Below are 12,767 nucleotides of genomic sequence, written 5' to 3'. Positions count from 1 at the left end.
AGACCTTCCTATAGCCATACTTTAACGGTAAGATATATGAATTTGCTAGCAATAAATTCTTATAATTTTCCATTGTCTGAGACTGTCTTTATTTCCTTCTATTCCTACAGAATATTTTTTGCTAAATACAGGATTCATGGTTCTGCTCTTTTCTTTCGGTAATTGAATAAACTGCCACTTCATTCTGGCCTTCATGGTTTCAAACGAAAAATCTGTTGTCATTCAAATTACTGTTCTCATAAGTAATGTTTTTCTCTGCCTGTTTTCAAGCCTTTTCTTTGTCTTTTGTTTTCAGAAGTTAAGTTATGATGTGTCTTAGCATGGATTTGAGTTTTTGCTATTCGGGGTTCACTTAGTTTCTGAATTTGTAAATTTATACATTTCATCAAATTTGGGGAAATTTCAGTATTTCTTTGAATACTTTTTCAGTCTCTCTCTCATTCTGCTCTCTTTTTGAAATTCCAGTGACAAGTACTTTAGCTCTTTTGTTATTGGCTCAAAGGTCCTTTAGACTCTTTTTAATTTTTTTCTCCCAGTCTATTTTCTCTTTGTTCTTCAGATTGAGTTCATTCTATTCATCTGTCCCCAAGTTCACTGATTCAATCCTCTGTCATCTCCACTTTACTAGTGATTATATCCAGCAAGTTTTAATTTCAATCACTGTATTTTCTAGTATATAATTTTCATTCTTTATTATAACTTATTTCCTTACTGAGATATTCTAGGTTTTCATTTGTCTCAAGATTATTCAATTTTGTTGAAGCATTTTTATGATGGTTGCTTTAAAATCTTTGTCAGATAATTCCAATATCTGAATAATATTAATATTGTCATTTGTTGGTCTTTTGCCTTTCTTGTCTGAATTTCCTGGTTCTTGGTATGATCTGTGTTTTCTAATGTAGCCTAGATATTTTGAATATTATGAGACTCTGGGTTCTATTTAATCTTCCTATTTTTAGCAGGCAGTCTCCTGTTGAGGCATAATGTAAAAGCCAAGGAGGTGTGTATGCATGGCTTTGCACTGAGCTCTACCAAAAGCACCCCAGGAAAAGTGGGCACTGACTCACACTGCCTCAGTGCAGACGAGAGATGTACAAGTTCAGCTCCCCTCCCAGTCCAACTGACACCTTCCCATGAAAGTGGAGCACCAGCTCACACTGCCTTTTTGCCTCCAAGTGGAATATAAGATCAGCTCCTTGCTGGGCCCTGCTGACATTAGGAAAGGAGAAAGCAAAGGACTGACAATACTTTGTTGCTGCAGGGTGGAGGCAGAAGTTCAGCTCCCTGTTGTGCCCTTCTGGCACCAGCTGAGGGAAGGGGGGAAAAGGGAATACCAACTAGCCCCATGGGTGAAGACTTAATTCCTAGTGAGAGGGAGTAAGGATGAAGCCTAGTATTGACTAGTTTTGTCTCAGACTGGCTTAAGTAACATTGGTGCTGGGTAGCAGCAGAGGTTCAGCTTTCAGCTGGACCACACTGACACATCCTGGCAGAGGAATTAAAGCACTGTCTCCTTCTCCCCAGTGGAACTTGGAAGTCAGCTGCTTGCTTACTACTGCCAACACTACCCCAGCAGGAAAATAAGATTGCTGCTACTTACTTATGTTAGGTAGGAGAATCAGCATGTACTGCCTACTTCCAAGGGGTGGTGTGGGGCCACTGGTGTGTGGCTGCAGTACGGTGGGTATTGTCAAAAAGCCTTTCTATTGTTATAATTTCCTTTTACTGATCCTTTGGCTAGAAGGGACAGGCTTTTCTCCCCCTGTGCTTATTAGCAATTCCAGGTTGAAGGCTTCTGCAGTGTCCCGAGATATATGGGAGGCAAAGGAGAAAACTTACTGCCAGCTCATTCCTCAAGTCTCAATGTCTTTAGACAGCATGCTTTCTTATTCCGTCTTCTAGAGTGTTCCTATGCTTGTCTGTTGTGCTATATCCAGGGTGCTTAAGTTTCAAGAAGAAACAGCTGTGAGGAATAGGACTATACATTTTGGTGGACCTGGAAGTCTCTGTTTTATGTAATTTTATCCTTACATGTTAATCTACACTCTCCATTAGATCATAATGAATGTCTCACACATCTTGGTATCTTCTACATGTGCCTTCCATAAGTTTTCTAATATAGTAGGCCCTTGATAAATGTTTGGTGAATGCCCAACACGAAATGTTCATTTTGTGAAGACATATGCATCAGCAAAAGTGGACTGCTTATAGCCTGAAGCATGTAAGAGTGCATGGGTCAGCGGTAAAGAGTTGCGGAGGGATATCTTCAGATGGAAGAGAGGTAGCTCATCTGCATTGATGGCAATGCTTTTCTAATCTTTGATATTATATGACATATTTCTGGACTGGTCATCCCCTTTAGGCTAAAAGATGAAGTTTTGAATGCTGAAGTACAGTTTCTTTTTTTTTTTTTTTTGAGACAGACTTTTGCTCTTGTTCCCCAGACTGGAGTGCAACGGCACGATCTCGGCTCACTGCAACCTCCGCCTCCTGGGTTCAAGCGATTCTCCTGCCTCAGCCTCCCGAGTAGCTGGGACTACAGGCATGCGCCACCATGCCTGGCTAATTTTGTATTTTTAGTAGAGATGGGGTTTTTCCATGTTGGTCAGGCTGGTTTCGAACTCCCAACCTCAAGTGATCCACCCGCCTCAGCCTCCCAAAGTGCTGGGATTACAGGCATGAGCCACCGCATCCGGCCTAAAGTAAAGTTTCTTAAGTGATTGCAGCCAGCTTCGTTTGTCTAAGTTTTCTTAAGTCCTCACAGCCTTCTGAACTTGAAGGATCTCTCTAACTCTAGTCAGGGTAAGTCTGACAATGTTTGTAAGTGAAATTATGTTGTCAGAACTATGGCACCTAGTTCTTCCTGATAACCCCTTCATGTAGTAGATACAATATATGAGAGAAAAATTAAGACCTAAATCTCTGGCAAATATTTCCCCAATTTATAAGAAATATCTTGGACTCCCCATTCAAAGACATTCGAAGCACTTTTCTATTCTCCCTATCAGCATTCTAGAAACTGCAATGGATTTTAAACTAGACTTCTTGGATGGCTGGTGTCTTATGGTATTACTGTTTATTAAAATAATGTGCTACAAACTATGCTACTATTTAAACAAATACAGGTTGGAAGCAGTGATTAGTACAAAAAGAACAAAGCAGGTTACTAATTTTTCCCTAAGTCAGTCAGAATTTTTGGTCTGAAGGCATTTAATACTTCAGGTTTAGGAGAAAAGAGATTGGGGTAAGGGGGGAAAGAGTCTCTCCCAGTCAAACAAACAAACAAAAAGATTTGTTTTCAATCTCGCAGGCTTAGAACACAAATGAAAGACCAACATAAAAATACACTCAACTGATTCCTTGGTGTCTTTAAGGAATGTACTCATATACTATATAGAAACAGCCAATCATTGGTCACATTTTTACAAATTAGAGTCATGACCTGAAAGTTAATTATCTTTCTCATGTAATTCTATTCTTTTCACACTTGTTCAGCCAATACATGAAAAGCTTGATATATAGTGTGAGCAGCTGCTTATTTCTCAATCCAGTTGGCAAGACAAAAATATGGTTGGTTTTTAAACAAGTGCAGTCGTGTGGTTGAGGTTCCTAATGTGTAGTCACAGTGCCACCTAGTGGTTATGCAGAGATTAACTATTAAAGATACTGTTTATTACGGCGCAGAATTTCCCTTTATCAAAAGATTTACACTTACTTGGAAACCTTATTGATTCCAAAAGCAACTTGTTGATTAAGAGATGCGATAATTTTGTCTTTCTTTTTAATCTGCATTTGGTTTTCTTGCCACCGAAAAGTCACTGTTCTCAACTGTCTTTTGAAATCCTGATCAATAAAAAATATTATTTCAGATAATTATGTTCAAGTCACCAGAAATTGAAAGAAAAAAGCAAACTAAGTTCTTTTCAAACAGAAAGCACCAGTAAGTTTAATATTTGAAATACTTCTCACTTCCATCAGATCTAATGGCAAAAATACTTACTTCACACTGATAGTGCAATTTATAAAGCTGCCTTTGACGAGCAAGCCTTTCCTTTTCAGTTTCTCCATAGTCTGTAGTTACTTTGCCAGCTGAGCCCTATTGAGCACAGGAAATATGCATGTATTATTTTCCTCAAAAAAAAATTTTAGTTATTTGAAAGGGATTTAAAGTTGCCATCTAACTCCTTTCACGTTTTTTGTCTCAAGTCAAACACTCAATTTAGATAAACCCACCTCCCCTCAATTACAGCATTTAATAAACAGTACCAGTTACTTGCCTGTTGCTGCTGCTGCTGGATACCACTACCGGCATGCTTACCATTTCTTTTTTTTTAATTATTATACTTTAAGTTTTAGGGTACATGTGCACAATGTGCAGGTTTGTTACATATGTATACATGTGCCATGTTGGTGTGCTGCACCCATTAACTCGTCATTTAACATTAGGTATATCTCATAATGCTATCTCTTCCCCCTCCCTCCACCTCACAACAGGCCCCGATGTGTGATGTTCCCCTTCCTGTGTCCATGTGTTCTCATTGTTCAATTCCCACCTATGAGTGAGAACATGTGGTGTTTCGTTTTTTGTCCTTGCGATAGTTTGCTGAGAATGATGGTTTCCAGCTTCTTCCATGTCCCTAAAAAGGACATGAACTCATCATTTTTTATGGCTGCATAGTATTCCGTGGTGTATATGTGCCACATTTCCTTAATCCAGTCTATCATTGTTGGACATTTGGGTTGGTTCCAAGTCTTTGCTATTGTGAATAGTGCTGCAATAAACATACGTGTGCATGTATCTTTATAGCAGCATGATTTATAATCCTTTGGGTATATACCCAGTAATGGGATGGCTGGGTCAAATGGTATCTCTAGTTCTAGATCCCTGAGGAATCGCCACATGGACTTCCACAATGGTTGACCTAGTTTACAGTCCCACCAACAGTGTAAAAGTGTTCCTATTTCTCCATATCCTCTCCAGCACCTGTTGTTTCCTGACTTTTTAATGACTGCCATTCTAACTGGTGTGAGATGGTATCTCATTGTGGTTTTGATTTGCATTTCTCTGATGGCCAGTGATGATGAGTATTTTTTCATCTGTCTTTTGGCTGCATATATGTGTTCTTTTGAGAAGTGTCTGTTCATATCCTTTGCCCACCTGTTGATGGGGTTGTTTTTTTCTTGTAAATTTGTTTGAGTTCATTGCAGATTCTGGATATTAGCCCTTTGTCAGATGAGTAGGTTGCAAAAATTTTCTCCCATTCTGTAGGTTGCCTGTTGACTCTGATGGTAGTTTCTTTTGCTGTGCAGAAGCTCTTTAGTTTAATTAGATCCCATTTGTCAATTTTGGCTTTTGTTGCCATTGCTTTTGGTGTTTTAGACATGAAGTCCTTGCCCATGCCTATGTCCTGAATGGTATTGCCTAGGTTTTCTTCTAGGGTTTTTATGGTTTTAGGTCTAACATTTAAGTCTTTAATCCATCTTGAATTGGTTTTTGTACAAGGTGTAAGGAAGGGATCCAGTTTCAGCTTTCTACATATGGCTAGCCAGTTTTCCCAGCACCATTTATTAAATAGGGAATCCTTTCCCAATTTCTGTTTTTGTCAGGTTTTTCAAAGATCAGATAGTTGTAGATATGTGGCATTATTTCTGAGGGCTCCGTTCTGTTCCATTGGTCTATATCTCTGTTTTGGTACCAGTACCATGCTGTTTTCGTTACTGTAGCCTTGTAGTATACTTTGAAGTCAGGTAGTGTGATGCCTCCAGCTTTGTTCTTGTGCCTTAGGATTGACTTCGCAATGCAGGCTCTTTTTTGGTTCCATATGAACTTTAAAGTGGTTTTTTCCAATTCTGTGAAAAAAGTCATTGGTAGCTTGATGGGGATGGAATTGAATCTATAAATTACCTTGGGCAGTATGGCCATTTTCACAATATTGATTCTTCCTACCCATGAGCATGGAATGTTCTTCCATTTCTTTGTATCCTCTTTTATTTTGTTGAGCAGTGGTTTGTAGTTCTCCTTGAAGAGGTCCTTCACATCCCTTGTAAGTTGGATTCCTAGGTATTTTATTCTCTTTGAAGCAATTGTGAATGGGAGTTCACTCATGATTTGGCTCTCTGTTTGTCTGTTATTGGTGTATAAGAATGCTTGTGATTTTTGCACATTGATTTTATATCCTGAGACTTTGCTGAAGTTGCTTATCAGCTTAAGGAGATTTTGGGCTGAGATGATGGAGTTTTCTAGACATACAATCATGTCATCTGCAAACAGGGACAATTTGACTTCCTCTTTTCCTAATTGAATACCCTTTATTTCCTTCTCCTGCCTGATTGCCCTGGCCAGAACTTCCAACACTATGTTGAATAGGAGTGGTGAGAGAGGGCATCCCTGTCTTGTGCCAGTTTTCAAAGGGAATGCTTCCAGTTTTTGCCCATTCAGTATGATATTGGCTGTGGGTTTGTCATAGATAGCTCTTACTATTTTGAGATACATCCCATCAATACCTAATTTATTGAGAGTTTTTAGCATGAAGGCGTTGTTGAATTTTGTCAAAGGCCTTTTCTGCATCTATTGAGATATCATGTGGTTTTTGTCTTTGGTTCTGTTTATATGCTGGATTTATTGATTTGCGTATGTTGAACCAGCCTTGCATCCCAGTGATGAAGCCCACTTGATCATGGTGGATAAGCTTTTTGATGTGCTGCTGGATTCAGTTTGCCAGTATTTTATTGAGGATTTTTGCATCGATGTTCATCAGGGATATTGGTCTAAAATTCTCTTTTTTTGTTATGTCTCTGCCCGGCTTTGCTATCAGGATGATGCTGGCCTCATAAAACAAGTTAGGGAGGATTCCCTCTTTTTCTATTGATTGGAATAGTTTCGGAAGGAATGGTACCAGCTCCTCCTTGTACCTCTGGTAGAATTCGGCTGTGAATCCATCTGGTCCTGGACTTTTTTTTGGTTGGTAAGCTATTAATTATTGCCTCAATTTCAGAGCCTGTTATTGGTCTATTCAGAGATTCAACTTCTTCCTGGTTTAGTCTTGGGAGGGTGTATATGTCGAGGAATTTATCCATTTCTTCTAGATTTTCTAGTTTATTTGCGTAGAGGTGTTTATAGTATTCTCTGATGGTAGTTTGTATTTCTGTGGGATTGGTGGTGATATCCCCTTTATCATTTTTTATTGTGTCTATTTGATTCTTCTCTCTTTTCTTCTTTATTAGTCTTGCTAGCGGTCTATCAATTTTGTTGATCTTTTCAAAAAACCAGCTCCTGGATTCATTGATTTTTTGAAGGGTTTTTTGTGTCTCTATCCCCTTCAGTTCTGCTCTGATCTTAGTTATTTCTTGCCTTCTGCTAGCTTTTGAATGTGTTTGCTCTTGCTTCTCTAGTTCTTTTAATTGTGATGTTAGGGTGTCAATTTTAGATCTTTCCTGCTTTCTCTTGTGGGCATTTAGTGCTACAAATTTCCCTCTACACACTGCTTTGAATGTGTCCCAGAGATTCTGGTATGTTGTGTCTTTGTTCTCGTTGGTTTCAAAGAACATCTTTATTTCTGCCTTCATTTCGTTATGTACCCAGTAGTCATTCAGGAGCAGGTTGTTCAGTTTCCATGTAGTTGAGCGGTTTTGAGTGAGTTTCTTAATCTTGAGTTCTACTTTGATTGCACTGTGGTCTGAGAGACAGTTTGTTATAATTTCTGTTCTTTTACATTTGCTGAGGAGTGCTTTACTTCTAACTATGTGGTCAATTTTGGAATAGGTGTGGTGTGGTGCTGAGAAAAATGTATATTCTGTTGATTTGGGGTGGAGAGTTCTGTAGATGTCTATTAGGTCCGCTTGGTGCAGAGCTGAGTTCAATTCCTGGATATCCTTGTTAACTTTCTGTCTCATTGATCTGTCTAATGTTGACAGTGGGGTGTTAAAGTCTCCCATGATTATTGTGTGGGAGTCTAAGTCTCTTTGTAGGTCTTTAATGACTTGCTTTATGAATCTGAGTGCTCCTATATTGGGTGCATATATATTTAGGATAGTTAGCTCTTCTTGTTTAATTGATCCCTTTACCATTATGTAAAGACCTTCTTTGTCTCTTTTGATCTTTGTTGGTTTAAAGTCTGTTTTATCAGAGACTAGGATTGCAACCCCTGCCTTTTTTTGTTTTCCATTTGCTTGGTAGATCTTCCTCCATCTCTTTATTTTGAGCCTATGTGTGTCTCTGCACGTGAGATGGGTTTCCTGAATACAGCACACTGATGGATCTTGACTCTTTATCCAATTTGCCACTCTGTGTCTTTTAATTGGAGCATTTAACCCATTTACATTTAAGGTTAATATTGTTATGTGTGAATTTGATCCTGTCATTATGATGTTAGCTGGTTATTTTGCTCGTTAGTTGATGCAGTTTCTTCCTAGCCTCGATGGTCTTTACAATTTGGCATGTTTTTGCAGTTGCTGGTACTGGTTGTTCCTTTCCATGTTTAGTGCTTCCTTCAGGAGCTCTTTTAGGGCAGGCCTGGTGGTGACAAAAATCTCTCAGCATTTGCTTGTCTGTAAAGGATTTTATTTCTCCTTTACTTATGAAGCTTAGTTTGGCTGGATATGAAATTCTGGGTTGAAAATTCTTTTCTTTAAGAATGTTGAATATTGGCCCCCACTCTCTTCTGGCTTGTAGAGTTTCTGCCAAGAGATCAGCTGTTAGTCTGATGGGCTTCCCTTTGTGGGTAACCCGACCTTTCTCTCTGGCTGCCCTTAACATTTTTTCCTTCATTTCAACTTTGGTGAATCTGCCAATTATGTGTCTTGGAGTTGCTCTTCTCGAGTAGTATCTTTGTGGCGTTCTCTGTATTTCCTAAGTTTGAATACAATCTAGCCTGCCTTGCTAGATTGGGGAAGTTCTCCTGGATAATATCCTGCAGAGTGTTTTCCAACTTGGTTGCATTCTCCCCATCACTTTCAGGTACACCAATCAGACGTAGATTTGGTCTTTTCACATAGTCCCATATTTCTTGGAGGTTTGTTCATTTCTTTTTATTCTTTTTTCTCTAAACTTCTCACTTCATTTCATTCATTTGATCTTCCGTCACTGATACCCTTTCTTCCAGTTGAGTGAATCGGCTACTGAGGCTTGTGCATTCGTCACATAGTTCTTGTGCTGTGGTTTTCAGCTCCATCAGGTCCTTTAAGGACTTCTCTGTATTGGTTATTCTAGTTAGCCATTCGTCTAATTTTTTTCAAGGTTTTTAATTTCTTTGCCATGGGTTCGAACTTCCTCCTTTAGCTCGGAGTAGTTTGATCGTCTGAAGCCTTCTCTCAACTCGTCAAAGTCATTCTCCGTCCAGGTTTGTTCTGTTGCTGGTGAGGAGCTGTGTTCCTTTGGAGGAGGAGAAGCACTCTGATTTTTAGAATTTTCAGTTTTTCTGCTCTGTTTTTTCCCCATCTTTGTGGTTTTATCTGCCTTTGGTCTTTGATGATGATGACGTACAGATGGGGTTTTGGTGTGGATGCCCTTTCTGTTTGTTAGCTTTCCTTCTAACAGTCAGGACCCTCAGCTGCAGGTCTGTTGGAGTTTGCTGGAGGTCCACTCCAGACCCTGTTTGCCTGGGTATCAGCAGTGGAGGCTGCAGAACAGTGGATATTGGTAAACAGCAAATGTTGCTGCCTGATCGTTCCTCTGGAAGTTTTGCCTCAGAGGGGTACCCAGCCGTGTGAGGTGTCAGTCTGCCCCTACTGGGGGATGCCACCCAGTTAGGCTACTCAGGGTTCAGGGATCCACTTGAGGAGGCAGGCTGTCCGTTCTCAGATCTCAAGCTACGTGCTGGGAGAACCACTACTCTCTTCAAAGCTGTCAGACAGGGACATTTAAGTCTGCAGAGGTTTCTGCTGCCTTTTGTTTGCCTATGCCCTGCCCCCAGAGGTGGAGTCTACAGAGGCAGAGAGGCCTCCTTGAGCTGTGGTGGGTTCCACCCAGTTTGAGCTTCCCGGCCGCTTTGTTTACCTACTCAAGCCTTGGCAATGGCAGACGCCCCTCCCCTAGCCTCGCTGCCACCATGCAGTTTGCTCAGACTGCTGTGCTAGCAATGAGTGAGGCTCCATGGGCGTGGGACCCTCCAAGCCAGGCATGGGATATAATATCCTGGTGTGCCGTTTGCTGAGACCGTCAGAAAAGCGCAGCATTAGGGTGGGAGTGACCCGATTTTCCAGGTGCCATCTGTCACCCTTTCCTTGGCTAGGAAAGGGAATTCCCTGACCCCGTGCGCTTCCCAGGTGAGGTGATGCCTCGCCCTGCTTTGGCTCACACTCGGTGCGCCGCACCCACTGTCCTGAACCCACTGTCCAACAATCCCCAGTGAGATGAACCCAGTACCTTAGTTGGAAATGCAGGAATCATTCATCTTCTGCATCGCTCACGGTGGGAGCTGTAGACTGGAGCTGTTCCTATTCAGCCATCTTGGCTCCACCCCCCACTTACCATTTCTTTAGCATTTTCTTTGTAAGGGTAACGCTTTTATTGTTGTAAGAACCAAATGACATAGGCAGTCATTATTTCCATTTTAGAGATGATAAAATATTGAGTAACTTGCCCCAAATCACATAGACAGTAAGTGGAGGAGCCTGCATTCTAAGGCAGTCTTAATTGCCCAAACACTTAATTACACTGTATCATCTGAGTTTAATGTTCAACTTATCCACTAGATTGTAAACATTATCCATAGATTGTAGAAACTTTGTCTTAGCATAGCTCTTGACACAATATGCAGGTGATAAATGGGTTTTGAATAAATGAATAAACTTTTTTTAAAGGTATGTGTCATTTTAATTCTATCTTTGAGTTCCCATAGTCTCATGGCTATAGAATGAAAACCAGAGATCCCATATTTAAACTGTAGTGTGACATCCAAAGCTAAGAATATGTCATTTCAGTTAAAATGTACATATTCTAATTAGGAGAAAAAAGGTATGACAATTATATGAATGTTGTACTATCAGCCAGGGAATCATTTGCACTAACTGTACCCTTAGACAATGAGTATTCCTACATATTACATACCACTATATTTAAACAGCAGAGCAGGTTATCACTGAATTCTCATTAGTAGGTAAAAAAATAGTTTTTTAAAAAATTATTTCATTTGCTGTTGAGCACTTAAATCATGTTCACATGCCTCTTCACATATAGGTACATCATTCCAAGCAGTGACAACTACCAGGAATGGAGCCAGAAAAAAAAATGATTATACATCAATATTTTCTGTAGACATTTTATGGTAACAATCATATTTAATTTTTAAAAATGAAAGCAGCTTTATATTACAAAACTATTTTTCTCATGACATGTAATCTAGTAGGATTATGCTAGTCTTTTTTTTTCCTTTGTGGTATTCGAAAAACGTTTGCAAGAAATGCATTTGTAATCAACTTTGCCCTATAATTAAAGCCAGGAAATGGTTTGAGGGCTAAAGTGAAGTTTCCAGCTCCTAGGCGTTCTTTTTTTTCCTTATTCTATTTTCCTTCATATATCCCTCCTTACCTTTTATGCTTTTCTCTTTCTCCTCACAAACAGTATAAACCACTGGGCTTTTCAAAGGGTGATGCTGTTTAAAGAGTCACAGGAAAAACCAGATAACAATAAGAGAAGGCAGGCACCCTCTCTAATCATGCTTACCTGCTCTATCATGTCCAGAATATGCAATTCATCCAGGCTATAGAACTTGTCTTCCATTGCAGAATCCTCTTGAACATCACTTGCATCATCTTTTATAAGTCTACTGACTGAGTGTGGATTTGCTTGTTCTTTCCTCAACTGCTCTTCCTTTTCTACCACATATGGGCTGTAGTCGTGACATAATCAATGTGAGCTTTTACAATTGTATAGTAATTTTCATCTAAGCTATTGCTTCCAAAGTTAGTATTGTACTGGTTTCATAAGATGCTCAGCATTAGAAGGGTTCATGATCAAAGGAAGTTTGGATAGTGCTCATACTGAGTCTTTCTTTTGAAGATTCATAATGAATATTAGCATATTTAAAGTAGCACTCAATCAAGGTACCTGTTTAATTCTGTTCATGCCACTGTTTTCAAGAATTATGACACTACAGAGTTCACTTTACAAATTATAACTAGTTACATCAGTTGCTTTGGAAAACAGTACTTTCAGAAATATTGGCAAGCATTTCCACATCTGCTACATTATTTTACCATCATAACATTCTTTGTTCCCCCTTAATTTTCTTGACAAGTAGGTTGGTTTAAGCAACTTCAGTGATTAGGTCCAATGTATGTTTAAATAGAGAGTTGAAAACAGCATCATAAAATAGACTGTAAAATGGAGGTTTCTTTTGTAACAGAACTTTTAAAAAGAACTACAGTAACAACATGGATTTCAGTAACTACACTACTAACAGAGACCACTTTTAAAAAATGAAAATACTACATATATATATATATATATATATATATATATATATACACACACACACAATGGCAATTAACCAATTTCTACACTTTTTTCTAAAATTTAATTGCATGCTACTGTCCTTTCACTTGGCCTACTACTTAGTAGCTCTAAATTTCCTTCCTAATCTCCTTGAATGGCAACAAGAATAGGAGTATTTTTACTTAGAGTGTGATATGACTCTATTTAACTAGTGAATAGAAACTCTAAGATACATTATTACTTTTTTAGAACACTTTGAGATCTAGAAAAAAATGAAATTAATGCTTGTGGAATAATTCATAAAACACGATATAAGCAGTAATTAGGTATTACT

General features: G+C 39.1%; 1 protein-coding gene across 12 annotated transcripts in view; it reads right to left on the bottom strand.

Annotated features, from left to right (window-relative positions):
• Window positions 1-12,767, bottom strand: part of DZIP3 (DAZ interacting zinc finger protein 3) — a 105,331-nt gene that overhangs the window by 28,868 nt on the left and 63,696 nt on the right. For all 12 annotated transcript variants that reach the window (XM_005247917.4, XM_005247914.5, XM_047449256.1 and 9 more), the window contains 3 exons: window positions 11,663-11,828; window positions 4,001-4,096; window positions 3,716-3,843 (listed from right to left, as the gene is read on the bottom strand). In XM_005247917.4, the coding sequence (XP_005247974.1) occupies window positions 3,716-3,843; window positions 4,001-4,096; window positions 11,663-11,828 (390 nt within the window). The remainder of the gene's footprint in view (window positions 1-3,715; window positions 3,844-4,000; window positions 4,097-11,662; window positions 11,829-12,767) is intronic.

The sequence above is a fragment of the Homo sapiens genome, chromosome 3 (assembly GCF_000001405.40).
Source record: "Homo sapiens chromosome 3, GRCh38.p14 Primary Assembly".
NCBI classification, from domain to species: Eukaryota; Metazoa; Chordata; class Mammalia; order Primates; family Hominidae; genus Homo; species Homo sapiens.
The sequence above is the reverse complement of the archived record's forward strand: the minus strand, read 5'-3'. Positions and strand labels throughout refer to the sequence as shown.